General features: G+C 44.2%; 1 protein-coding gene across 2 annotated transcripts; it reads left to right on the top strand.

Moving 5' to 3' along the window:
• The first annotated feature begins 14,374 nt into the window (after positions 1–14,374).
• Positions 14,375–20,621, top strand: SPATA31A3 (SPATA31 subfamily A member 3). 2 transcript variants are annotated; one of them, NM_001083124.1, is made up of 4 exons: positions 14,375–14,592; positions 15,794–15,851; positions 16,420–16,480; positions 16,736–20,621. In NM_001083124.1, the coding sequence occupies exons 1-4, from the start codon at positions 14,404–14,406 to the stop codon at positions 20,469–20,471; spliced, it is 4,044 nt and encodes a 1,347-aa protein (NP_001076593.1). In that variant the 5' UTR covers positions 14,375–14,403; the 3' UTR covers positions 20,472–20,621. The 2 variants fall into 2 exon arrangements, with proteins under 2 accessions (NP_001076593.1, XP_011543982.1); XM_011545680.4 differs by lacking the exons at positions 14,375–14,592; positions 15,794–15,851 and adding an exon at positions 15,892–16,094.

The raw sequence follows: 27,484 nt of genomic DNA, 5'->3' as shown, positions 1-27,484 counted from the left end.
TACATTTATGATGCATTATTTCTTATTTCCCGGGAATTTTACTACCTTTGTTTTGAATGATTAAAAAGGAAACACAGCACTTTTTTCAGCACATCACCAAGATAGCCTAGTTAATATTCTTCTCTTTCTGAAGTAGTTGAATTGGGATAGACAGCTTGCCAGGCCTGCTGCCACGTGTCAGCATCGCATCCCTACATTCAGCCACACTTGCATCTAACGACCATCTCTTTCATTAAATTTCTTTTGCACCTTTTCTTCCTGAATGAGTGCATGATACTTAATTTTCCTGTGCACTTGCATGTCTCAAGAAGGTTTTAATTCTTTTTGTATTGCATTAATATTAAGTTAAGTTTATAATTGCAAAATGATTTATACTCAGAACATTGAAGACTCCTTTGTTTTGTTACATCCTGTCAAAATGATGAGAAGACAGATCATCCTTTAGGGAAAAATTGGTTTTGATTGGTGTCAGCCTTTCCAACAGCAATGCTGGAGACAAGAATAAAATGAAGTAATATTTTTCAAGGATTAAAAGGAAACCAATTTTAATCCTTGAATTATTTGCAGCCACAATCTTTTAAATATGAAAGCCCAGAAAAAGACATTAAAAAGTAAGGCCTCAAAAGTTTTATTTCAAATAAATCCCTTTGAAAATGCTTAGAGGTCATACTCCACTAAGAAGAGAAATACACCGTGGTGTTAGAATTGAGGGTTCCAGAATCAATGGTAGTGGTGTTTATCATACTCTAAAAAATAAATGAAAACATAACATATTGAAAACAACCCCAAGTAAACTTCAGAAAGCACCCCCTTAGACAAAGTGCTGTCGTAACAGAGAAAGCAAACCAGAGGTGGCAAGAGGAAGCTAGAGCACTTATCTTGTTTGCTGAGATGATATTAATTTTGACACATATCAGAAATTGAGAAAATTAACATAAATAATGATATAACCACCATTACAATGTTAAAAATTTCCAGATTTCAAACAAATAGAAAAAGATTTGATCTATAGAGTGAAAGGTACAATAGGAAAAAATAAACAGTAAAGAAAGTATGAAAAATCATAAAATGAGATGACAGAAATAACTCATAATGGAACAATAATTACATAAATCAAAGGTTAAGATTGTCAGGTAAAATTTTTAAGTGTCAAAAAAACACTCAATAAAACTTATCGAAAATAAATTAGTGTAAAAAATATAGCAGGAAAATATGAATAAAAAGAGCTAGGTCCAATTTTTGATAAAAATTTGAATTCAAGTTAATAATATCCTAAAGAAGGAAAAAATCTGTAGACCAATAGAGAGAAAGGAAAGGCGCATTCAGACAAAGAAAATGTGTACAGAACACACTAGGGATATCAGAAGAGGCTGCTCATGGCCAGGCATGGTGGCTCATACCTGCAATCCCAGCACTATGGGAGGCCAAGGTGGGTGGATCACCTGAGCTCAGGAGTTCAGGACCAGCCTGGGCAGCAAGGGAAACCCCATCTCTACCAAAAATACAAAAAAATTCGCTAGCCATAGTGGCACATGCCTGTGGTTCCCGTTACATGGGAGGCTGAGGTGAGAGGATTGCTTGAGCCCGGGAGGCGGAGGTTACAGAGAGCCCAGATTTTGCCACTGCACTCCAGCCTGGGCAAGAATGTGAGACCCAGTCTCAAAGCAAAACAAAACAAAATAAAAAAGAAGCTGCTCAAGACCAGACTGAGCTCCTAGACCTTGAACTCCAGTCCCACCTCACACCCTAAGGTTCCTAAAGAATCAGTAACTTAGTTCACCCTACCCCACTCCTGACTTCTGGATGTAGCACAAGTTTCTAAACTTATGCAAACAGTGAGGACTATCTATTTTGACAAAATAAGAAATGGAGTCAAGGCAACATGTAAAAGATATTTTTGCCAGTTTTATTGATTAACAAAGAAAAATTGTATATAGTTAAGGTATGCAGTGTGATATTTTGATATACATATACATTGTGAAGTGATGATTACCACAATCAAGCTAACATATTCATCACCTCACCTGGTTACCTTTTTATTTGTGTTTGTGTGGTGGAGAACACTTGAGATCTACTCTTTCAGCAAATTTCAAGTATACATTATTATTGACTTTAGTCACTATGCTGTACATTAGATCTCCAGAACTTATTCATCTTATAACTGAAAGTTTGTACTTTCTGACAAACATTTTTTCTTTTCCCCCAACTCCCAGGCCCTAGTAAGCACTATTTTACTCTGTTACCATGAGTTTGACATTTTCTTAGTATGCATATAAGTGAAATCATGCAGGATTTTTTTGCATCTGTTCCTGGCTTATTTTACTTACCATAATAAACTCCAGGTTTATCCATCTTGTTACAAATGGCAGTATTTCCTCATTTTTAAAGGCTAAATGATATTCCATTACATATTTGTGTGTGTCTGTGTGTGTGTGTGTGTGTGTAATACATTTAAAACATCCATTCATCTGTCAATGGACACAGGTAGTTTCCATACCTTGGCTGTGTAAATAACACTGTAATAAACATGTAAGTATATATATCTCTCTGAGATAGTGATTTTCTTTACTTTGGATATATACCCAGATGTGAGATTGCTGGATTATATGGGAGTTCCATTTTTAATTTTTTGAGGAAACTCCATACTGTTGTCTGTAATGGCTGTACCAATTTACATTCCCATCAACTATCAACTAAGCACAAGGGTTTCTGTTTCTCAATATCCTCAGCAACATTTGTTACCTTTTTACTGTTATAAAAGCCATCCTAATAGATGTGAGGTGATATCTCATTGTGCATTTTCCTGATGATTAGTGATGGCAAACATCTTTTTCTTAATACATACCTATTGTCAATCGTATGTCCTTTAGAAATGTATCTCTTCAGGTCTGATATGCTTTGGCTGCGTCCCCACCCAAATCGCATGTTGAATTGTAGCTCCCATAATTCCCATGTGTTATGGGAGGGACCCAGTAGGAGATAGTTGAATCATGGGAGCGGTTTTCCCCATACTGTTTTTGTGGTAGTAAATAAGCCTCACAAGATCCGATTGTTTTATAAGGGATTTCCTTTTTCACTTGGCTTTCATTCTGTCTTGCCTGCTGCTGTGTAATATGTGCCTTTAGCCTCCCACCATAAGTAAGGCCTCCCCAGCCTCATGGAGCTGTGAGTCCATTAAACCTCTTTTTCTTTATAAATCACACAGTCTTTGGTATGCCTTTATCAGCAGCATGCAAACAGATGAATACAGTAAATTGGTACTGGTAGAGTGGGGTGCTGCTGTAAAGTTATCCAAAAATGTGGAACCAACTTCGGAACTGGGTAACAGGCAGGGGTTGGAACAGTTTGGAGGGCTCAGAAAAAGACAGAAAAATGTGAAAAAGTTTGGAACTCCCTAGAGATTTGTTGACTAGCTTTGACCAAAATGCTAATAATGATATGGACAATGAAATTCAGGCTGAGGTTGTCTCAGATAGTGATGAGGAACTTGTTGGGAACTGGAGTCAAGGAAAATCTTGCTATGCTTTAGCAAAGAGACTGGCAGCATTTTGCCCCTGCCCTGGAGATGTGTGGAACTTTGAACTTGAGGGAGATGATTTAGGGTAGCTGGCAGAATAAGTTTCTAAGCAGCAAAGCACTCAAGAGGTGACTTGGGTGCTGTTAAAAGCATTCAGTTTTAAAAGGAAACAGCATAAAACTTTGGAAAATTTGCAGCCAAACAATGTGATAGAAAAGAAAAACCAATTTTCTGAGGAGAAATTCAAGCCAGCTGCAGAAATTTGCATAAGCAACAAGGACCCAAATGTTCATCACCAAGACAATGGGGAAAATATCTCCAGGACATGTCAGAGACCTTTGCAGCAGTCCCTCCCATTACAGGCCAAGAGGCCTAAAAGGAAAAAATGGTTTCCTGGGCTGGATTCAGGGGCCCCCTGCTGTTTGCCACCTAGTGACTTGATACCCTGCATCCCAGCTACTCTAGCCATGGCTAAAAGGGTCCAAGGTACAGCTTGGACTGTGGATTCAGGTGGTGCAAGCCCCAAACCTTGGCAGTTTCACATGGTGTTGCGCCTGTGGGTGCACAGAAGTCAAGAATTGAGGTTTGGGAATCTCTGCCTAGATTTCAGAGGATGTATGGAAACTCCTAGATGTCCAGAAAGAATTTTGCTGCAAGGGTGGTGCCCTAATGGAAAACCTCTGCTAGGACAGTGCAGAAGGGAAATATGGGGTTGAAGCCCCCACACAGAGTCCCCACTGAGGTACTGCCTACTGGAGCTGTGAGAAGAAGGCCACTGTCCTCCGGACCCCAGAAAGGTACAGCCACCAAAAGCTTGATCATGCACACAGGAAGGCTACAGACAATGCCAGTCCATGAAAGCAACCAAGAGGGGGGCTATTTCCTGCAAAGCCACAGGGGTGGAGCTGCCCAAGGCCATGGGAGCCCACCTCTTGCATAAGTGTGACCTGGATGTGAGACATGGAGTCAAAGGAGTTCACTTTGGAGCTTTAAGATTTGACAGGCCTGCTGGATTTTGGACTTGGGGCCTGTAGCCTCTTTGTTTTGGCCAAATTCACCCATTTGGAACAGGTATGTTTACCTGCTCCCTGTACCTCCATTGTATTTGGAAAGTAACTAACTTGCTTTTAACTTTATGAGTTCATAGCTCGAAGGGACTTGCCTTGTCTCAGATAAGACTTTGGACTGTGGACTTTTGAGTTAATATTGAAATTAGTTAAGATGTTGAGGGACTGTTGGGAAGGCATAATTTGTTTTCAAATGTGAAGACATGAAATTTGGGAGGAGCTGGGGCAGAATGATATGATTCAGCTGTGTCCCTACTCCAATCTCCTCTTGAATTGTAGTTCCCATAATTCCCACATGTTGTGGGAGGGACCTGGTGGAAGACAATTGAATCATGGGGGCAGTTTCTCCCATACTGTTCCCATGGTAGTAAATAAGTCTCATGAGATCTGATTGCTTTATAACGGGTTTCCCCTTTTGCTTGGCTTTCATCCTGTCTTGCTGGCTGTCATGTAAGACATGCCTTTCACCTTCCACTGTGATTATGAGGCCTCCCCAGCTACGTGGAACTGTGAATCCATTAAACCTCTTTTTTTTGGAGATGGAGTCTGGCTCTGTCACCCAGGCTGGAGTGCAGTGGTGTGATCTCTGCTCATTGCAAGCTCCACCTCCAAGGTTCACGCCATTCTTCTGCCTCAGCCTCCCAAGTCGCTGGGACTACAGGCACCCACCACCACACCTGGCTAATTTTTTGTATTTTTAATACAGACAGGATTTCACCATGTTAGCCAGGATGATCTCAATCTCCTGACCTCATGATCTGCCTGCCTCGGCCTCCCAAAGTGCTGGGATTACAGGCATGAGCCACCGTGTCTGGCCAAACCTTTTTCTTTATAAATTACCCAGTCTCTGGTATGTCTTTGTCAGCATCATGAAAACAGACCAATACAAGATCCTTTGGAATTGTCTGAGTTCCTAATTTATTTGGATATTAACTTCTTATCAGATGTATAGTGTGTAAATATTTTCTCCCATTCTTTAGGTTATCTTTTCATTGTATTGGTTGTCTCCTTTGCTGCGCTGAAGCTTTTAGTTTGATTTACTCCCATTTGTCTAGTTTTGCTTTTGTTGTCTATACTTTTGGTATCAAATCTGAAAATTTATTACCAATACCAGTATCAAGGAGCTTTTCTCCGATATTTATATCTAAGAGTCTTACAATATTGGTCCTTTGTTGAGGTCTTTCATCCATTTTGAGACAATTTTTGTATGTACAGTGAGATAAGGGTTCAGTTTCATTCTTCTGCATGTGGATATCCAGTTTTCCCAACACCATTTAATAAAGAGACTAAATTTTATCATTGTGTACTCTTGGCACCAATGCTAGAGATCAATTGATTGTAAAGTCATGGATTTATTTCTTTCTATGATCTCTATTCTGTTCCCTTGGCCTACATGTCTGTTTTTATGCTAGTAGCATACTATTTTGATTACTACAGCTTTATAATTTAGTTTGGAATAAGGTAATGTGATGCTTCCACTTTTGTTTTTTCTGCTGAAGGATGTTTTGACTGTTTGGGGTCATTTGAGGTTGCATAAAAATTTTAGAACTGCTTTTTTCCATTTCTTTGAAAAATGCCATTGAAATTTTGATGGGGTTGCTTTATATCTATAGATCGCGCTGAGTAATAGGGATATGTATCTTCTTCAAATTCTTTCATCAGTGTTTTATAGTTTTTGGTATATACAAATTTTACTGTCTTATTTAAATTTCTTCCTAAGTAGTTAATTTTTTGATGCTATTGTAAATGAGATTGTGTTCTTTCAGACGGACTCTCACTCTGTTGCCCAGGCTGGAGTGCAGTGGTGTGATCTTGGCTCACTGCAAGCTCTGACTCCCGGGTTCACACCAATCTCCTGCCTCAGCCTCCTGCCACCACGCCCAGCTAATTTTTTGTATTTTTAGTAGAGACAGGGTTTCTCCATGTTAGCCAAGATGGTCTCGATCTCTTGACCTTGTGATCTGCCCACCTCAGACTCCCAAAGTGCTGGGATTACAGGCGTGAGCCACTGTGCCCGGCCCGAGATTGTTTTGTTAATTTCTTTCTGGGATACTCAACTATTAGTATATAAAAACGTAACAGGTTTTTTTTTAATGTTAATTATGTGTTCTGCAAATTTGCTTGTTTCTTAATTTTAACAGTTTTTAATTGGAGCCTTTAGAATTTTCTCTATATGAGATCATGTCATCTTCAAATAGAGACACTTTCACTTCTTTTCCAGTTTGGATGCCTTTTATTTCTTTTTCTTACTTAATTGCTCTGGCTAGGACTTACAGACTTTTTCAGAAACCCCCCAAAATAATCTAAGGGAGTCCATTGTCACTAGACCTGCTTTATAAGAAATTCTAAAGGGAGTTCTTCAAACTGAAATGCAATAAGACTAATTAGCATCACGAAAACATATGTAGTTATAAAAAGTCACCAGTAAAAGTAACTATACAGTCAAATTCAAAATATTCCTAATACTGTAATGATGGAGTATAATCACTTTAACTTTTAAAAGGTTAAAAGACAAAAAATATTACAAATAAATATAACTACAAAATAAACAAAGAAATAAACGCTGACATCAAAAAAACATAAAAAGTGGAGGGGAGTAAAGTGTAGGGTTTTGTATATGCTTGAAGTTAAGTTGTTATCAACTTAAAATAGACCATTATAACTATAATCATACATTTCTTAATGTGGATATGTTCTGAATAATGCCTCATTATGCAATTTTGTCATGGTGTGAATATCATAGAGTATACTTACACGAAATTAGATAATACCACCTACTACACACCCAGGCTATATGGTATAACCTATTGCTTCCAGGCTACAAATCTGTACAGCATTGTACTATACTGAATGCTATAGGCAATTATAATACAATGATAAGCATTTGTGTATCCAAATGTATCTAAACATATAAAAGATACAATAAAAATGTTATAACCTTACAGGGCCACCGTTGTATATGTGGCCCATCATTGACCAAAACATCCTTATGTGGCACATGAGAGCATATGATGTTTTATGGAAGCCTCAGGATAATCACAAAGACAAAACATGTAATAGTTACACAAATGAAAATTTTACCACATGTTTAAAAAAGAATTAATACAAAGACACAGAAAAGAATCAAAGTATACCACTACAGAAAATAATCAAAATAATCAAATCATGCACAGCAAGAGAGAAATAAAAGAACAAAGAAACTGCAAAATGCCTATCAATAGTTACTTTAAATATCAGTGGACCAAATTAGAAAAGACACAGAGTGGCTGAATGGACAGTAAAACAATAACCAAATATATGCCGCCTATAAGAGATTCACTTCACCTTTAGAGACACACATAGACTGAAAGGAAAGACAGGGAACAAAAAAAAGAAAGAGTAGCTATTCTTACAACAAACAAAATAGACTTTAAGTCAAAAACTGTAACAAGAGGGAAAGAAAGTCATTATAGAATGATACAAGGGTCAATTCATCAAGAGGATATAATTACTACAAATATATATTCTCCCAACATTGGAACACCTAATTGTATAAAGCAAATATTAACAAATCTGAAGAGAGAAGTGACAACAATAATACAATAACAGTTGGGGACTTCCATATCCCACTTTCAACAATGGATTGATCACTCAGACAGATAATCAATAAGGAAACAGATGACTTGAACTACACTATAGATCAAATGGACCAGACATATACGGGACATTACTTTCCAAAACAGCAAAATACACATTCTTCTTGAGCATACACAGTACATTCTCCTACACAGGTCATATATTGGGCCAGAAAACAAGTCTTAGCAAATTTAAGAAGATTGAAATCTTATCAAGTATTCTTTTTGACCACAGTGGCATGAAACTGAAAATTAAAAACAGGAGAAAACTTAGAAAAGTGACAAATATGTGGAAATCAACCAACACACTCCTGAGCAACCAATAGATCAAAGAAAACATCAAAAAAGAAATAAAATATCTTGAGACAAACTAAAATGAAAGCACAACATACTAAAACTTATGAGATGAAGCAAAAGCAATTCTAACAGGGAAGTTTATACAGGTTAAGTGCTAAATGAAGAAAAAAGATCTCAAATAAACAATAAACCTCAAAGAAATAGAAAAGAAAAAAAATGAAGCCCAAAATTAGAAGAAGGAAGGAAATAACAAAGATGATAGCAGAAGTAAATGAAATACACTAGAAAAACAATAGAAAAGATCAATGAAACAAAAAGCTGATTTTTTGAAAACATAATGGCTGGGCGCGGTGGCTCATGCCTGTAATCCCAGCACTTTGGGAGGCGGGCAGATCACGAGGTCAGAGATCAAGACCATCCTGGCTAACATGGTGAAACCCCGCCTCTACTAAATATACAAAAAATTAGCAGAGCCGGGCAGCGTGCGCCTGTAGTCCCAGCTACTTGGGAGGCTGAGGCAGGGGAATGGCATGAACCCAGGAGGCAGAGCTTGCAGTGAGCGGAGATTGCGCCACTGCACTACAGCCTGGGAGACAGAGCCAGACTGAGTCTCAAAAAAATAAAATAAAATAAAATAAAAATAATAAAAATTGACCAACCTTTCACTAGGCTAAGAAAAAAGAGAGAAGCCTCAAATAAATAAAATTAGAACAAAAAAGCAGATATTAAAATTGGTACCATAGAAATACAAAGGATAATAACAGTCTAAACAACTATGTGTCAACAAATTGTTTAACTTAGAAGAAATAGAGAAATTTCTAGAAACATACATCCCCTAAGATTGAAACATGAAGAAATAGAAAATCAACACAAATAATGAGTAAAAATATTGAGTCAGTGGTCAAAAAGCTCCTGAAAAAGGAAAATCCAAGACCAGATAGCTTAGTGGAGAAGTCTAGCAAATGTTTAAAGAAGAATTAGTACCATTTCTTCACAAACTCTTCCAAAAGTTGAAGAGGAGGGAATACAAACATTTTTTATGAGGCCAGCATTACCCTGATAACAAAGACAGAAAAGATACTACAAGGTTGACAGATATTTTTAAGGTGTAAATGATGTATTGTTGGAATTGAAAATACAGGATTTGTTTGTACAAAGATTTGTGTGTGGATAGGTGGATGCGTACTGGTGTGTGCATGCATACATATACAAGCTTACCTTGTTTTATTGCACTTCACTTTATTATGCTTCTCGGATATTGCATTTTTTACAGGTTGAAGGTTTATGGCAACCCTGCATCAAGCAAGTCTACCAGTGCCACTTTTCTGGTAGCATGTGCTTATTTTGTATCTCTGTGTTACATTTTTGTAATTCTTGCAATATTTCAAATGTTTTGTTATTATTATATCTGTTATGGTAATCTGTGATCAGTGATCATTGATATTACTATTGTCATTGTTTTGGGGCATCACAAACCATGTTCCAAAAGACAATGAGCCTAATTGATACATATGTGTGTCTGAATGGTTCCATCGATCTGCCCTTCCTCCATCCCCCCAACTCCTCAGGTCTCCCTGTTTTCTGAGACACAGGAATATTGAAATTAGGCCAATTAATAACTCTACAAAGGCCTCTATGTGTTCAAGTGAAAGTAAGAGTCACACATCTCTTATTTAAATCAAAAGTGAGAAATGATTAAGGTGAGTGAGGAAGGCATGTTAAAAGCTGAAACAGGCCAAAAACTAGGCATCCTGCACCTAACAGCCAAACTGTGCATGAAAAGAAAAAGTTCTTGAAGAAAATTAAAAGTATTACTCCAATGAACACATGAGTGGTATGAAAGTGAAAGAGACTTATCGCTGATATGGAGAAGGTTTGAGTGGTTTGGATAGAAGATCAAACCAACCACAACATTTCCTTAAGCCAAACCCTAATCAAGAGCAAGGACCTAATTCTTCTTAATTCTCTGAAGGCTGAGAGAGGTTGGGAAGCCACAGAAAAAAAGTTTGAAGCTAGCAGAGATTGGTTCATGAGGTTTAAGGAAAGAAGTCTTCTCCATAAGATAAAAGTGCAAGGAAAAGCAGCAAGTGCTGATGTAGAAGCTGCAGCAAGTCATCCATAAGATCAGCTAAGAGAAGCAACAAAGGTGGCTACACTAAACAAAGGTTTTTACTGCAGATAAAACAGCCTTATATTGGAAGAGGATGTCATCCAGGACTTTTACAGCCAGGTAGCAAAATAAATGCCTGACTTCAATGCTTCAAAGAACAGGATGACTCTTTTGTTAGGGGCTTAAGCTGAAGCCAAAGCTCATCTACCATTCTGAAAATTCTAGGGCCCTTAAGAACTATGCTACATCTACTCTGCCTGTGCTCTATAAATGGGACAAAGCCTGAATGACATCACATCTGTTACGACATGAATATTTTAAGCTCACACCTGAGAACTACTGCTTTAAAAAAAGATCTCTTTCAAAATATTATTGTTCATTGACAATTTACCTGGTCACCCAAGAGCTCTGATGGAGAACTACAAGAAAATTAAAGCTGTTTGCATGCCTGCTAATACAACATCCATTCTGCAGCCCAGGGATCAATGAGTAATTTAGACTTTCAAGGCTGATTATCTGAGAAATACATTTCATAAGGCTGTAGCCACCATGTATAGTAGTTCCTTCGATAGATCTGGGCAAAGTAAGTTGAAAACCTTCTAGAAAGGTTTCACCATTCTAGAAGCATTTGCAATTCATGGGAGGAGGTTAAAATTAAGAACATTTGTGATTCATGGGAGGAGGTTAAAATATCAATATTAAAAGAAATTTGGAAGAAGTTGATTCCAATCCTCATGGATGACTTTGAGGGTTCAAGACTTCAGTGCAAGAAGTAACTGCAGACGTGGTGGAAATGGCAAGAGAACTAAGATTAAAAGATGTGAAGAGAACTTAAGATGTGGCTGAATTGCTGAAATCTCATGACAAAATTTTAACAAATGAGAACTTGGATGAGCAAAGAAAGTGGTTTCTTGAGATGGAAACTACTCCAGGTGTAGATGCTGTGAACCTTGTTGAAATGACAACAGAGTATTTAGAAAATTGCATAAACTTAGTGGATAAAGCAGTGGCAGGGTTTGAGAGGATTGTCTCCGATTTGAAGGAAGCTCTACTGTGGGTAAAATGCTGTCAAACAGCATTGCATGCTACAGAGGAATCTTGAAAGAAATAGTCAACTGATGTAGCAAACTTCATTGTTGTCTTATTTTAAGAAATTGCCACAGCCACCTCACCTCCAGCAGCTTCCACCATGATGAGTCAGCAGCCACAACACTGAGGCAAGGCCACTGACCAGCAAAAAGATCATGATGTTGAAGACTCAGGTGATCGATAGCATTTTTAAACAGTAAAATAATTTTTGACTAAGGTATGTACATTGACTTTTTTATACATAATGGTATTGCCCACTTAATAGACTACAGTATAGTATAGACCTAACTTTTATATGCACTGAGAAACCAAAAATTCTGTGTGATTTGCCTTATTGCCATATTTGTTTTATTGCAGAACTGGCCACCAGAATCTTCCCTTCCCCTAGAACGCCCTTCACCCAAGCCACCTGCATTTTCCCCTCACCCATCATACCCACCCCCATTGTCTGGCCTGCCCTCCACCTCCTCCAAAAGCCTTCATTGCTCCCCCACTGCTGGACTGCATTCTGACTCCGTCTCAATGTGACTCAATGGCACTTCCATTGGGCACTGCCCTAAAGAGCTCATCTCCACAGTGGCCTGAAACCAAACCCACAGTATCTCTGAGGTATGCCTATGTAGCAGTCCCATAAGTTATCGTGCACTTTAAGCATTACCAAGTCCAGAACTGTAAATGCTACACATTTACAGAAATACCACTTGAAGGTTTAACTACTTATAACTGTTTCATAATTAGAATTACAAATTTTGAATATTAATTATTTTAATTGGGGGGAGGGGCCAAGATGGTTGAGTAGAAACAGCTCTACTCTGCAGCCCCCACTGAGACAAACATAAACAGCGAGTGAATTCTGCATTTCTAACTGAGGTATCCAGATTCCCTCATTGGGACTGACTAGGCAGTTGGTGTGACCCATGGAGAGCAAGGAAAAGCAGAGTTGGGCGACAGTTCACCCAAGAGCTACACAGGGCAAAGAGACCTCCCTCCTCCAGCCAAGGGAGGCAGTGAGGGATTGTGCTACCCACCCGGAGAACTGTGCTTTACCCACAGATTTTTGCAAACCCCAGAACAGGTAATCCCTTTGTGAGTCCACACCACCAGGGCCTTGGGTCCCAAGCACAAAGCTGTGCAGACCCATAGCAGGGGCTCCAGCTGGCAGCCACTTGGGCAGGTACTGAGCTGTAGGAGTTTCTGCGTACTCTGGTGGCTCGCAGTAATCCAGTGAAGCAGGAGATCCATCAACTCCCATGAGAAGAGGGCTGAAGCCAGGGAGCCAAGCAGACCCACTCCCACAGAACCCCACAAGCTAAGACCCACTGGCATGGAATCCCCACTGGCTAGCACAGCACTTGGAGTCTGCCTAAGAAGACCAAGTTCCTGGGGGGAAGGGTGACCACCATTACTGCGGGTCTAGCCGGTGGTTTTCCCCCACCAGTGCTAGGGAGACTGGGTGGTTTGCGCTGGGCAGAATTCCCCACAGTGCAGTACAGAGGCTGTGGCAGATATACCATTATTGCATATCCAAAGGAATATAAATCATTCTATTACAAAGATACATGCACGTGTATGTTTATTGCAGCACTGTTCCCAATAGCAAAGACATGGAATCAACCCAATGCCCACCAATGATAGACTGGATAAATAAAATGTGGTACATATACACCATGGAATACTATGCAGCCATAAAAAGGAATGAGATCAAGTCCTTTGCGGGGACATGGATGAAGCTGGAAGCCATTATCCTCAGCAAACTAACACAGGAACAGAAAACCAAATACCACATGTTCTCACTTACAAGTGGGAGCCGAACAATGAGAACATATGGACACTGGGAGGGAAACAACACACCCTGGCACCTGTCGAGGGAGGGCCGGTGGTAGGGAGAGCATCAGGAAAAATAGCTAATGCATGCTGGGTTTAATACCTAAGTGATGGGTTGATAGGTGCAGCAAATCACCATGGTACATATTTGCCTATGTAAGAAAACTGCATGTCCTGCACATGTATCCCGAAAGTTAAAATAAAATAAATACATAAGTACATAAATAAAATTTTAAAAGACAAAAAAAAAAATCTTAATTGTATGTGGGTAGTTCCCTTTGATTGAAAGTGAGATAGAAATAATTTTTTAAAACTTACTATTCAAAATTTGCAAAACTAAATAAGAGTAAAAGAAATTTACATTTTGTCCCTGGATTGATACAAGACAAAAACATAGTGTGGAAAAGCTGGAGTTGAGGATGAACGAGATTCTGAGAATAAAAATCCCTGGTACATAGCCAAAATTTCAGAACTTCAGATTTTCAAGGGCTATAAAATAGGTAACCTCAAGCCACCGTCTCCAACAGATAAAAGGAACCAGGTAATATCTATATTCCAGGGAGAAAGAATAGAAAATTGGCTATCACTGACAAAACTTAGTGGGAAGGAGGGATCTAGAAGGTGGGATGGTGGAGGGATCCCCAGCTTGGGGGGTAGGGAGGGGCTGTGCTTCAGTCTCCCCCTCCCCTGCCCCTCTCCCTCCCTCTCCCCCTCCTGCTGCACCTCCCCCTCCCTCTGCGCCTCCCCCTCCCACTGCCCCTCCCCAACAAAGGAGCCCTTTGTGACATCAAGGCCCCACCTCTGTGACGCAGGCCTGGGCCCCAGTCCCTAGTCCCCACGGGGATGCCCAGAGCTCAGTTGCTTGAAAGCAACGCGCCTATTCACATGGAGAATCTTCCCTTTCCTTTAAAATTACTTAGTGCCTCATCGCTAAACGCCCCCAGTTCCACACCATGGGTGTTGGATATCTTCCTCACTTTGGTGTTTGCCCTGGGGTTCTTCTTCCTATTACTCCCCTACTTATCTTACTTCCGTTGTGATGACCCACCCTCACCATCGCCTGGGAAGAGAAAGGTAAGGAACCCTCAGTCCCAACCCACAGAGCTTGATTCTCTCCTTTCTTTTTATTATTAGTTCCACTTTTCCAAATCCAGTGGAGAGCCTTCTATGATGGGAAGTCTCAGAAGAGACCAGAACATCATCCTTCCAGGGAGAGGCAGGGCAGCCAGGGGTTGGTAGGGGTAGATAGTGTACTGGGATTTCCATCCCAAGCTCTCAGTCCATCTGTGGGGGAGCACAGGAGGCATCAAGGCAAAATCAAACCAGTGGACTCAGCACCAGTACCAGTCATGAGACTGGGGAGGTCTCTGTCCGAGACCAGGCCCTGAGCCCTGGCTCATCAGCCCCTTTCTGGTGCAGGTGGCTCAGGGCCCAGCCTCCCCTGTGTGGGGTGATCTGGGGCCTGTGCTGGGCCCCTGAGGGCCTCCCACCAGGGCCTGGTGTCTCCTCTGGTCTCCTGGGAAGCAGAATCCTACCTGATAGCTCAGCAGTGCCTGCGGGCCTGAACTTGGGTGTTCCTGGAGCAGAGGAACAGGGACTGAAGGTGTCCGTGGTGGACCTCATATTGAAAATCCCTCTGTGTGTGTGTGTGTGTGTGTGTGTGTGTGTGTGTATTTTTATTTTATTTGTGTGTGTTATTTTTATTTTATTTTATTTTATTTTATTTTATTTTATTTTATTTTATTTTATTTTTTGAGATGGAGTCTCGCTCTGTGGTGCAGGTTGCAGTGAAATGGAGTGATATCGGCTCACTGCAACCTCTGCTTCCTGAGTTCAAGCGATTCTCCTGTCTTAGAGTCCTGAATAGCTGGGGATTACAGGCGCCCACCACCATGCCTGCCTAATTTTTGTATTTTTAGTAGACACGGGGTTTCACCATGGCCAGGCTGGTCTCAAACTCCTGACCTCAGGTGATCAACCCACCTTGGCCTCCCAAAGTGCTTGGATTATAGGCGTGAGCCACCACGCCCAGCCCCCTCTTGCTGTTTTTCTAAGAAGAAAAGCAGTTTATCATCCATTTAAACAAGAGTGGGAGGAAGCACACAGAGCTCCCTGAGCAAGACAGAGAGAGCCATGCGGTTCCTGAGTGCAGCATGCTGCGGCTGGGCTGGGGCAGAGAGGGAGAGCCGGTCCTAGCTTCTTACCCTTTCTTGTCTCCCATTGTCATCTTGTCTCTCCGCGTCATCTTGTCTCCGTACGTCATCGTGTCTCCCAGTGTCCAGTAGGGCGGAGGCGGAGGCCCAGAGGCAGGATGAAAAACCACAGTCTGAGAGGTAAGGCTCTGCCAGAGCACACTAGGGTTAATTTGATCTCATCTGTCCCGAAGGGAACTGACTCTGAAGAAGTCAGTTGAAGAAGCCTGAGGTGGGGGCTCCTAGGAAGGAAATCAGAACCCCGGGTCCTTCTCAGATTCCATGCGGGAATGAAGCCATGGTGGGCCAGGGACTGGGCGTTACCCAGCAGGGGGCAGTGTGTGTGTCCTGGGGAGACCAATGCCTGCCTGGATGCGGAGGGGGGTGAGGGGGCCTCCCGCTCCCTGGGAACAGCTGTCCAACTCTGCTAAGGCTGATTCCTCTTTGAGACCACCTCAGTCCTTTCTCCCCACAGGGCAGTTGTGAGGACTGTGGGGGTGGGGGGTCCGTGTGTGGAAGCCCTTTGTGAATGAAAAAGCCCTGTCCTCCATGCCTTGCTATTAACGTCGGGGTCATGTGGCTTTGGACACAGATGGGTGGGGTCCAGGGTCTAATTCCCCATGGTCCTCCCTAAAGAAACAGCCACTCAGCCTCCTGTGAGAACCCAGGCCCCTCCCTCACTGCCCTAACCCAGTCTCCTGATTTCCAGCTGGTAGAGAGTGCCGGAGAGGCCTGGAGGAGACTTCGGACCTGCTTTCACAACTGCAGAGGTGAGGCACTTCCCCTTCCCTGCATCCTTCCTACCAGGGCTGGGACGTGACCCCAGGGCCACAGGCAGCCTGGAGCTGACCTGGGATGGGGAGACCAGGGGTACAGAGGATGGGAGTAAAACCCTGGGGCGAGGGGTAGCAGGAGAATTGGGCAATCAGGGTGTGGGGTGGTGGAGGGGCTGTGGCCCGAGCACCCACTCTGCCCTCCGGCCCCACCGGCTCCTGGCTGCAGCTCGTGCCTCCTGTCTCCTGCAGCCTCCTGGGGCCACACCTTGACAAAGGTGACTTTGGTCAGCTCTCCGGTCCAGACCCCCCAGGTGAGGTGGGCGAAAGAGCACCTGATGGAGCCTCCCAGTCCTCTCATGAGCCTATGGAAGATGCTGCTCCCATTCTCTCCCTGTTAGCTTCCCCGGATCCTCAAGCCAAGCATCCTCAGGATCTGGCCTCCACCCCATCACCAGGCCCAATGACCACCTCAGTCTCCTCCCTAAGTGCCTCCCAGCCACCAGAACCTTCCCTTCCCCTAGAACACCCCTCACCCGAGCCACCTGCACTTTTCCCTCACCCACCACACACCCCTGATCCTCTGGCCTGCTCTCTGCCTCCTCCAAAAGGCTTCACTGCTCCTCCCCTGCGGGACTCCACACTGATAACTCCATCTCACTGTGACTCAGTGGCACTTCCACTGGGCACCGTCCCTCAAAGCTTGTCTCCACATGAGGATTTGGTGGCTTCTGTCCCAGCCATCTCAGGCCTTGGTGGCTCAAACAGTCATGTTTCTGCCTCCTCCCGGTGGCAGGAGACTGCCAGAACCTCGTGCGCCTTTAACTCATCAGTCCAGCAAGATCATCTTTCCCGCCACCCACCAGAGACCTGTCAGATGGAAGCTGGTAGCCTGTTTTTGCTCAGCTCTGATGGCCAGAATGTCGTGGGGATACAAGTCACAGAAACAGCCAAGGTCAACATTTGGGAAGAAAAAGAAAATGTTGGATCATTTACAAATCGAATGACCCCAGAAAAGCACTTAAATTCTTTGCGGAATTTGGCTAAATCATTGGATGCTGAGCAGGACACCACAAACCCAAAACCCTTCTGGAACATGGGAGAGAACTCGAAACAGCTGCCCGGACCTCAGAAGCTCTCAGATCCTAGGCTCTGGCAGGAAAGTTTTTGGAAGAATTATAGCCAGCTTTTCTGGGGCCTCCCCTCTCTGCACAGCGAGTCCCTGGTGGCTAACGCCTGGGTAACTGACAGGTCTTATACTTTACAGTCTCCTCCTTTCTTGTTCAATGAAATGTCCAATGTCTGCCCAATTCAAAGGGAGACTACAATGTCCCCACTGCTTTTCCAGGCCCAGCCCCTGTCCCATCTGGGGCCCGAGTGCCAACCCTTTATTTCATCCACACCCCAATTCCGGCCCACACCTATGGCTCAGGCCGAGGCTCAGGCCCATCTTCAATCTTCTTTCCCAGTCCTATCTCCTGCTTTTCCATCCCTGATTCAGAACACTGGAGTAGCTTGCCCTGCATCGCAGAATAAAGTGCAAGCTCTCTCCCTACCTGAAACTCAGCACCCTGAATGGCCTTTGTTGAGGAGACAACTAGAAGGTAGGTTGGCTTTACCCTCTAGGGTCCAAAAATCTCAGGACGTCTTTAGTGTCTCCACTCCTAACCTTCCCCAGGAAAGTTTGACATCCATTCTGCCTGAGAACTTTCCAGTCAGTCCTGAACTCCGGAGACAACTGGAGCAACACATAAAAAAGTGGATCATCCAACACTGGGGCAACCTGGGAAGGATCCAAGAGTCTCTGGATCTGATGCAGCTTCAGGACGAATCACCAGGGACAAGTCAGGCCAAGGGCAAACCCAGTCCCTGGCAGTCCTCCATGTCCACAGGTGAAAGCAGCAAGGAGGCACAGAAGGTGAAGTTCCAGCTAGAGAGGGACCCGTGCCCACATCTGGGGCAAATTCTGGGTGAGACCCCACAAAATCTATCCAGGGATATGAAAAGCTTCCCACGGAAGGTTCTGGGGGTGACTTCTGAGGAGTTGGAAAGGAACTTGAGGAAGCCCTTGAGGAGTGACTCGGGAAGTGATTTATTAAGATGCACAGAGAGGACTCATATAGAAAACATCCTGAAAGCCCACATGGGCAGGAACTTGGGCCAGACCAACGAGGGCTTGATCCCCGTGCGTGTGCGTCGATCCTGGCTTGCTGTCAACCAGGCTCTTCCCGTGTCCAACACCCATGTGAAAACCAGCAATCTAGCAGCCCCGAAAAGTGGGAAAGCCTGTGTGAACACAGCCCAGGTGCTTTCCTTCCTCGAGCCGTGTACTCAGCAGGGGTTGGGAGCCCATATTGTGAGGTTTTGGGCCAAACACAGGTGGGGTCTACCCCTCAGGGTCCTCAAGCCCATTCAGTGCTTTAAACTGGAAAAGGTTTCATCCTTGTCCCTTACACAGCTTGCTGGTCCCTCCTCAGCCACCTGTGAATCTGGGGCTGGCTCAGAAGTTGAGGTGGACATGTTCCTTAGAAAGCCACCAATGGCAAGTCTGAGAAAGCAGGTGCTGACCAAAGCATCTGATCACATGCCAGAGAGTCTTCTGGCCTCCTCACCTGCATGGAAGCAGTTCCAGAGGGCACCGCGAGGAATCCCATCTTGGAATGATCATGAACCCTTGAAGCCTCCTCCAGCTGGACAGGAGGGCAGGTGGCCATCTAAGCCCCTCACGTACAGCCTCACAGGCAGCACCCAGCAGAGCAGGAGCTTAGGAGCCCAATCTTCAAAGGCTGGAGAGACAAGGGAGGCAGTGCCACAATGCAGAGTCCCCTTGGAAACCTGTATGCTGGCAAACCTCCAAGCCACAAGTGAGGATGTGCATGGTTTCGAGGCTCCAGGGACCAGCAAAAGCTCTCTACACCCTAGAGTGTCTGTCTCCCAAGATCCAAGAAAGCTGTGTCTTATGGAGGAGGTTGTTAGTGAATTTGAGCCTGGAATGGCCACAAAGTCAGAGACCCAGCCTCAAGTTTGTGCCGCTGTTGTGCTCCTTCCAGATGGGCAAGCATCTGTTGTGCCCCACGCTTCAGAGAATTTGGTTTCTCAAGTGCCCCAGGGCCATCTCCAGAGCATGCCTACTGGGAACATGCGGGCTTCCCAGGAGCTACATGACCTCATGGCAGCCAGAAGGAGCAAACTGGTGCACGAGGAGCCCAGAAAACCAAACTGTCAAGGCTCATGCAAGAGCCAAAGGCCAATGTTTCCCCCTATTCACAAGAGTGAGAAGTTTAGGAAGCCCAACTTAGAAAAACATGAAGAAAGGCTTGAAGGATTGAGGACTCCTCAACTTACCCCAGTCAGGAAAACAGAAGACACCCATCAGGATGAAGGCGTCCAGCTACTGCCATCAAAGAAACAGCCTCCTTCAGTAAGCCCCTTTGGAGAAAACATCAAGCAAATTTTTCAGTGGATTTTTTCAAAGAAAAAAAGCAAGCCAGCACCAGTCACTGCTGAGAGCCAAAAAACAGTAAAAAACAGATCATGTGTGTACAGCAGCAGTGCTGAAGCTCAGGGTCTCATGACGGCAGTTGGACAAATGCTGGACGAGAAAATGTCACTTTGCCATGCGCGCCATGCCTCGAAGGTAAATCAGCACAAACAGAAGTTTCAAGCCCCAGTCTGTGGGTTTCCCTGCAACCACAGGCACCTCTTCTACTCAGAACACGGCAGAATACTGAGCTATGCAGCCAGCAGTCAACAAGCCACTCTCAAGAGCCAGGGTTGTCCCAACAGAGACAGACAAATCAGAAATCAACAGCCCTTGAAAAGTGTGCGGTGCAACAATGAGCAATGGGGCCTGCGACATCCCCAAATCTTGCACCCCAAGAAAGCTGTATCCCCAGTCAGTCCCCCTCAGCACTGGCCGAAGACATCCGGTGCCTCTAGCCACCATCACCACTGTCCAAGGCACTGTCTTCTTTGGGAAGGTATCTGATTTGGTCAGTCACAAATTCTTTTTTAGCCTTCCCTGGAGAAAAACAAGTCCCCAAGAAAAAATTCACTCTATGTAGAGAAAAAATATTTTCTCTCATGTTAGTACATGCAGAACATTTAATATTCCACAATATATATGGTTTTTTATTCATAAGAGGGTGATGGCTTTTATTTGTGCCATGCTTGGTGTGGGCTTGGTTTCCAGAAGCGACAGGACATGGAGGGATGTTGACAGTGGTGCTGTAAGCCCACCTTCATCCTGAGTTCCTTCACTGAACCTTATGTTTCCGTAATACCGTCTTTACACAAACAACAAAAAATTCTAAAAACAAGATGAGAAAAACCTATGAAGGTCCCACTCTGAAATAAGGTTCAACCCATCTTTCCACTACTTACTCTACCTCAAACTTCATGCAACTGTAGGGAGAAGGTTTGCAGAGATGTCACGGGACTGAACATCTCCATGCAGGCTCCAGGAAGTGCCACAGCCGAGTACCTTCATGTGTCACAAAATAGTGGAAGTTTGGGTGGGAGAGTGCTGGGCCCTGAGTTTAGAAGTGGGAGAAGTCTTGACCCTGGGTATCCTGGTGGAGAATAGATAACGTCTGCCCCTGGGAAGCCCCTTCTCTCCCTGACAAAGGCTGGGATGGAGATGGGCTCTCTTAGCTCAGCCAACATGCAAAGCAGAGAGTCCCCATCCCACTGCCTCTCCCTTTCTCGCACTCTGGAGTGGCAGTGGGGACAGACCTTCCAGCTCTGTGCATGTGTAGGTGGGGGCTAGGGGGTCAGGGGGGCAGCCTTTATGGAGGTTGCTGAGGGCCGTGAACTCCCCTGCCCCAGATGAATGAATGACCCTGCTCCTGGGTCACCGGCCTTTGTCTATCTCACCTACATGTCTCTCAGCTTCAGTGAAGTAGTTCTGGGTGAATGGAGTAGGGTATGCCTGTGTATGCAGAGGCTTCTGATGGTGGGACTCTGTAGAGCTACAGGGGATGCAGACAGAGAATTGAAAAGGAGGCAAAGTGGCGTGTGTGAGGGAGCCATCAGTGGTGCCGTGAGCCAGGAGACTCTGACATTCCAACCCCTTAGACAGGCCTAGAGGGGCCTAGTGTCTCATCCTGGCCACACCCCAGGGTCTGTCTCTGCTCCAGCTCCCAGATCACAGACCCCTAGAAAAACCACATTTACCCCCAACACAGAGGGCCATATTAGTGAGAAGGCAAAGTGAATAAGGAAGATGAATTTCTTAACATCTTCGATAAGCTTGCACATAATAATCTATTGAACTTTTTTTTTTTTTGAGACAGAGTTTCACTGTTTTGCCCAGGCTGGAGGGAAGTAGTGCAATCTTGGCTCACTGCAAACTCCGGCCCCTGGGTTCAAGCGATTCTTCTGCCTCAGCCTCCCAAGTGGCTGAGATGATAGGCACCCACCACCATGCCCGACTAATTTTTATATTTTTAGTAGAGACGGAGTTTTGCTATGTTGGCCAGGCTGGCCTCGAACTCCTTGCCTCAGGTGATCTACTGGCCTCAGCCTCCCAAAGAGCTAGGATTACAGGCATGAGCCATGGCGCCTGGCCTACCTATTGAATTTTTTAAAGGATGTGTTGACAATAGGTGGAAAAGCAAGGACTAGAGAACCCCAGGCATGAGTCGAAGTCTGGTGACCTTTAATATACACGTAGCCCCAGGACTGCTCCCTGGGGAAAGGTGGCGACTTACAAGGGCCCAGCAGCTGAGCTGGGGTCACACAGCAAATCTCCCCTGGCTCCTGACATCCTTGCTTGTCCCAGAGACCAGCAAGGGAAGATGCAGGCAGGCAGGATTTGAACATACAAGGGAGCTGGAAGTGACCTGTCCAGAATGGGCAGGGTATGGGCAGGACAGGAGCCATCCCTGCTGTCTCCCTCTGCTTTCAGCACAGCTTTCCTCCTCTCTGGGCCCTGTCCATATGGGAAAGCAGGAGGTCTCCACAAATCATGGACAGGAGGAGCCAGGTCTCTAGAGGGAGTTTTCTCTGCCTTGTGCCACATACAGGCGTGCAAGAAGCCCACTTCCGGGGGCCTCATTTCAATGGTGGAGAGGCCAGTGCCAGGCAGTGCCACTGATCTAGATGACAATGGAAATGGCCCTGCCCCCAACATGTGGGACTGGCCGGCACCGGGGTGCAGGGGGCAGTGGGCACAGTCCCCAGCCTGTGGCTTCTCCTGGGGCCAGGTCCTCTCTGGGGCCCGGATAACTGAAGCAGCCTCCAAGGTGGGCCCAGCGGTGACAGCGGAGCCAGGATCAGCAGGAGGAGCTGGGACCTGGAGCAGAGAGCAGCCCCGGTCCTCCGGGAGCTCAGGAGAGTGTGGCACAGAGCTGGGACCCTGACCACTGAGGATGGGCCATGCCTGGCTGCTGCTGGGTTCCCTCAGGAAACCAAGACGCGAGTTCTGGGATGTGGAGGAGCTGGACGTGGAGCCCATGGCTCAGGCCAGGAGAAGCGCCACAGGCAACGCTGAGAGACCAGCAAGAACACAGGAAGCAACAACCCCTTAGCCCTTCTGCAGCTCAGTCTCCCATGACATGCAGCGAGGCCAGCAATGGAGAGACCCACGGAGACCTCCCACAGGAACCTCACAGAGATATCTCGTACAGAGTGAGCACACTGGGACCTCTCACTGCCACGGAGAGAGACACACTGTAGCCTCCACAGAGACCCCACGGAGCTCTCAGAGTCCTCATGGTGCCCCACAGAGACCTAGCACAGAGATTCCCAGAGTCCTCACCCAGAGAACCCCACAGAGGCCACGCTGAGAGACTTCACTCAGTCCCACAGAGACCTCCCGCAAATGTCAGAGACCTTCCATGGTTCTCACAGGGAGATCTCACACAGAGACCCCACAAAGACCTCAGAGACTTCACACAGAGTCATAAAACAGGGACCTCATGCAGAGACTCATGCAGCTCACTGCAACCTCCGGCCTCCAGCCCCAGAAATGGCACACGGCACCCCCCACTGCCTCACAGAGACCTCTCTCAGAGTCCTCCTCACACAGAGACCTTGCCTGGAGACCTCCCACTCTCCACAGAGACCTTGTATAGATTCCTCACACAGGCCTCAGGTTGCTCCACACTCATTGCCCAGAAACCTCTCACATAGAATTCCCTCAAACATTCCACACAGAGATTCTGTAGGGCTTTCACAGGGTCCTCACACAGGGTCCTCACACAGGGACTTCATATAGTCCATGGTCCCTCACACAGAGACCTAGCACGGAGATTTCACACAGGGACTTCCCACAGAGACCCCACAGAGACCTCTGGAAGATACCTCCCACACAGACCTTCTGCAAAGGCCTCATACAGAGGCCTCACAAGGGGCAATGGAGCCCTCTTGCTGCCCCATGGAGTCCTCCCACAGAGACCTCATGTGGCCTCACAGGCCTCGTACAGAAACTGACTCGGATTTCTTAGAGACTTTCCACACAGAACTCACGCAGAAACCTCAAACTGAGGCTCCACAGAGACCTCACTCAGAGTTCTCACCAGGAGCCTGGCACTGAGGCCTCCCATGCAGCGCTCACACAGCGTCTTCACCATAGGTGAGATGCCCCTCACAGATACTCCTCAGAGATCTGGCCCAGAGGCTTCACAGAGACCTCACATCCATCCATTCTTTAGGGGCCTGAGCAGCCACCTGTTGACACGTCCTTCTCAGTGGATATAAAACCACTCAGCACAGTAGCAGCACAGCCGGGATATCAGTTGCACTCCCCAGGAACCCTGGGACACCCAGATACTGTCAGCATTGCAGTGAAGGCGGTTTTCTGCTTGGGGACATCCTCACACTTTTTTTTTTTTTTTGTAATAGCGCTGCCTCTGAAAAGAATTATGGATTCCACAGGCAGACCTGCAAAATTCTTTCTTCCACAGGTTTCCATTAGCTTGAATTCTGACCCACAATTTAGAAAATTCATTTTTTTAAATTATTTTTTGAGATGGAGTCTTGCTCTGTCGCCCAGGCTGGAGTCCAGTGGGATAATCTTGGCTCACTGCAACCTCCGCCTCTGGAGTTCAAGAGATTCTCCTGCTTCAGCCTCCTGAGTAGCTGGGATTATAGGTGTGCACTACCATGCTCGGCTAATTTTTGTATTTTTAGTAGAGACAGGGTTTCACCATGTTGGCCAGCTGGACTCGAACTCCTGACCTCCGGTGATCCACCCGCCTCGGCCTCCCAAAGTGCTGAGATTATAGGCATGAGCCACTGTGCCCAACCAAAAATTTTTAAGTGAAGAAAATGTTACCAACCTTCAATGAAAGAAAATATCTTATTTGTTCAGTTTGTTATTATCCAGCCAAATTACATCAATGTCATATATTTTTTAAAGTTTGGGGGAGACAAGACTTGAATTTGAGATGCCTGACTTCTGTACTTTGAAAATATGATAAAAACCTCTAGAAAATGAACCCCAGAAATGAAACAAACCAGCAAAGAGGCATCTGGACTCACACTGGTCTCCCAGGGGACTGTGCAACTAGCACATAATTTCATACAGAACAGCTTGGATCACGTTTGCAGAGTTCATTTTATTTTTAGCAAGCTAATAATCATGCAAAGATTTTTCACAAATAGGTCAAATCTCTAGCAATATTCTTATTGTATCACTTGGAAAAATTATACTTCTTAATAATATTATTTTATTCCTTAAAATGCAGTAATGCCCTCAAATAGTAGTATGACACATGTTTGTCAGACATGACTTAGTCCTAATGTTCCACAAACATAGCTTAAGCAGATGGGCAATTTAAAAGGATTTATTTTTTAAACAGTTCTATGAAACACGCATTCTCTAAGATGGGCAGTAGGGATCCATTTTATATTCATTACAGGGCTAAAAAAGGAATGTTTTGAAATCTTACAAAACAAATTAATCTATGCTTGAGATATATACATAGCCTAATAAAATATATTGAGGAAGGGACACGTTAACATTTGAGTGGAAGAAGGTATACATTTAATCAGCATTTGTATAATAAAAATGAATTATGAATGGCCTCACTAATTATATACGCAGCACTTTCCAAAGGGTGCACTCTGGTAAGACTACTTACTTCTCATTGCTCATAAGCAAACTGTTGTTCTTGCCTTGGTAAAATCTATTTTAACAATAGCTGTTAAAGCATATCACTAGATTATCCAACGGGATGACAGGGTCACAGTCTTTTCTCTAAGAGAGGCATAGCTGACATCAAGGCTCTTTTAGCCTATTTGTTTCAACAAGAAATCCCCTTTCTATATTCATCATAATTAAAAAATTTTAACTTAATTTTTCCACTTCCTTATAATGTCACTGCATCGTAAAATAATGGAATCGACATGGATCTTCAGATTATACATATACATATATATATAGTTTTGTTTTTGTTTTTGTTTTTTTTTTTTTTTTTGAGACAGAGTCTTGCCCTGTCACCCAGGCTGGAGTGCAGTGGCATGATCTTGGCTCACTGCAAGCTCAGCCTCCTGGGTTCACACCGTTCTCCTGCCTCAGCCTCCTGAATAGCTGGGACTACAGGCGCCAGCAACCATGACTGGCTAATTTTTTTGTATTTTTTTTTTTAGTAGAGAGAGGGTTTCACTGTGTTAGCCCGGATGGTCTGGATCTCTTGACCACGTGATCCACCCTCCTCGGCCTCCCAAAGTGCTGGGATTACAGGCATGGGCCACCGCGCTTGGCCTATAGATTTTTTCAACAGCGCAACTTAAATAAGTTTAGTTATCAGAACAAAATAGAGTCAATTAGAAAAAAAAATTCATACAGAAAAATATACTTTTCAAGTTGACTGTTTTAACAGAGTTAAAATAAGTGATTATACTTCAGTCATTTGATTTAAATTTGCTCAGAGTGGCCAGAAAATCTAGAAACATAGAAAATGTCCATACTAAATAGTTGATTGCTATGACACGTTGAATGTGCTGTTCCTCAATAGTAATTCATAGTTCAGTAATCTACGCAAAATTGCAATGAACAATGTGCATTAAAGCAACATTTCCATCAATCAGTGTATATTCATCTGCCATATATTGCCTCAGATGATTTGAGTGTCTAATTTCACAGAATAAATTTGAGCCTTTACCCCAGAAGAAATAATCAACGGGGCTCAATCTATTAAAAAGATATTGACAATATTTCCAGGCTCTATTAACATCTATAATTTATTTTTAATTAGATTCACCTAATTCAAAGCTTGTAAATATTTTTACCATTTATATGTGCCCAGATGAAATGGATATCAATAATTAGATAATGGAGAAAACAACAAACACAGATCTTCTTTGTTGTTAAAATATTTTACGTCAGAGCACTTTGCTAGAAATAAAGTAATTTTTAATCTCCAGGCAAAAGACTGTCTAAATGACATTCAGAATGTATTACAAATTTAGATTTAGAATAGATTTATGTTTAAAACAGGCCTCATACTGCTTTCAACAAATCGGGCACTACAGAACAGAATGTGGGGAGGGTGACAATGATGTGATGACTTCTTAACACTGAGCAAAGAAGCAAAAAACAAGTTGTCTTTCTACAATGTTGATCCCTAAGAGTGATTTCCCTTTATAGATTGCAATATAATTCCAGTTGCATTGTTATTATTTTACAAAGAACTCCCACAGAAAAAACTTTCTGGAGGTTTTCCCCTATATACACACCTACATTCTCTGCCATGCTCACACCGTTGGCAAAGTATGGTGCATCCAGCCACAGACCATCAAGGGGCTTGATAATTGCCTCCTCCATATACCTTCTGAGGTCGGTCAGGTTTATAACCATTCGTGTAACACAATTCATCCTTATAACTGGGCCTATGGCCTTGTGGCTTGTCACCTTTTCCAAGCAGGTGCTTGTCATCTTGGTTGCTCAGAGGTTTGCTGTGGCATCTTCCCTCACCTGCGGCCGGGCTGGCCTCCACCATGTTGCAACCAGAAGAGCCCACTTCCGTGGGGACAGAGCTTCCGTGCTCTCCACAG

Source organism: Homo sapiens, chromosome 9, assembly GCF_000001405.40.
Source record: "Homo sapiens chromosome 9, GRCh38.p14 Primary Assembly".
In the NCBI taxonomy this organism is placed as follows: domain Eukaryota; kingdom Metazoa; phylum Chordata; class Mammalia; order Primates; family Hominidae; genus Homo; species Homo sapiens.
The sequence above is the reverse complement of the archived record's forward strand: the minus strand, read 5'-3'. Positions and strand labels throughout refer to the sequence as shown.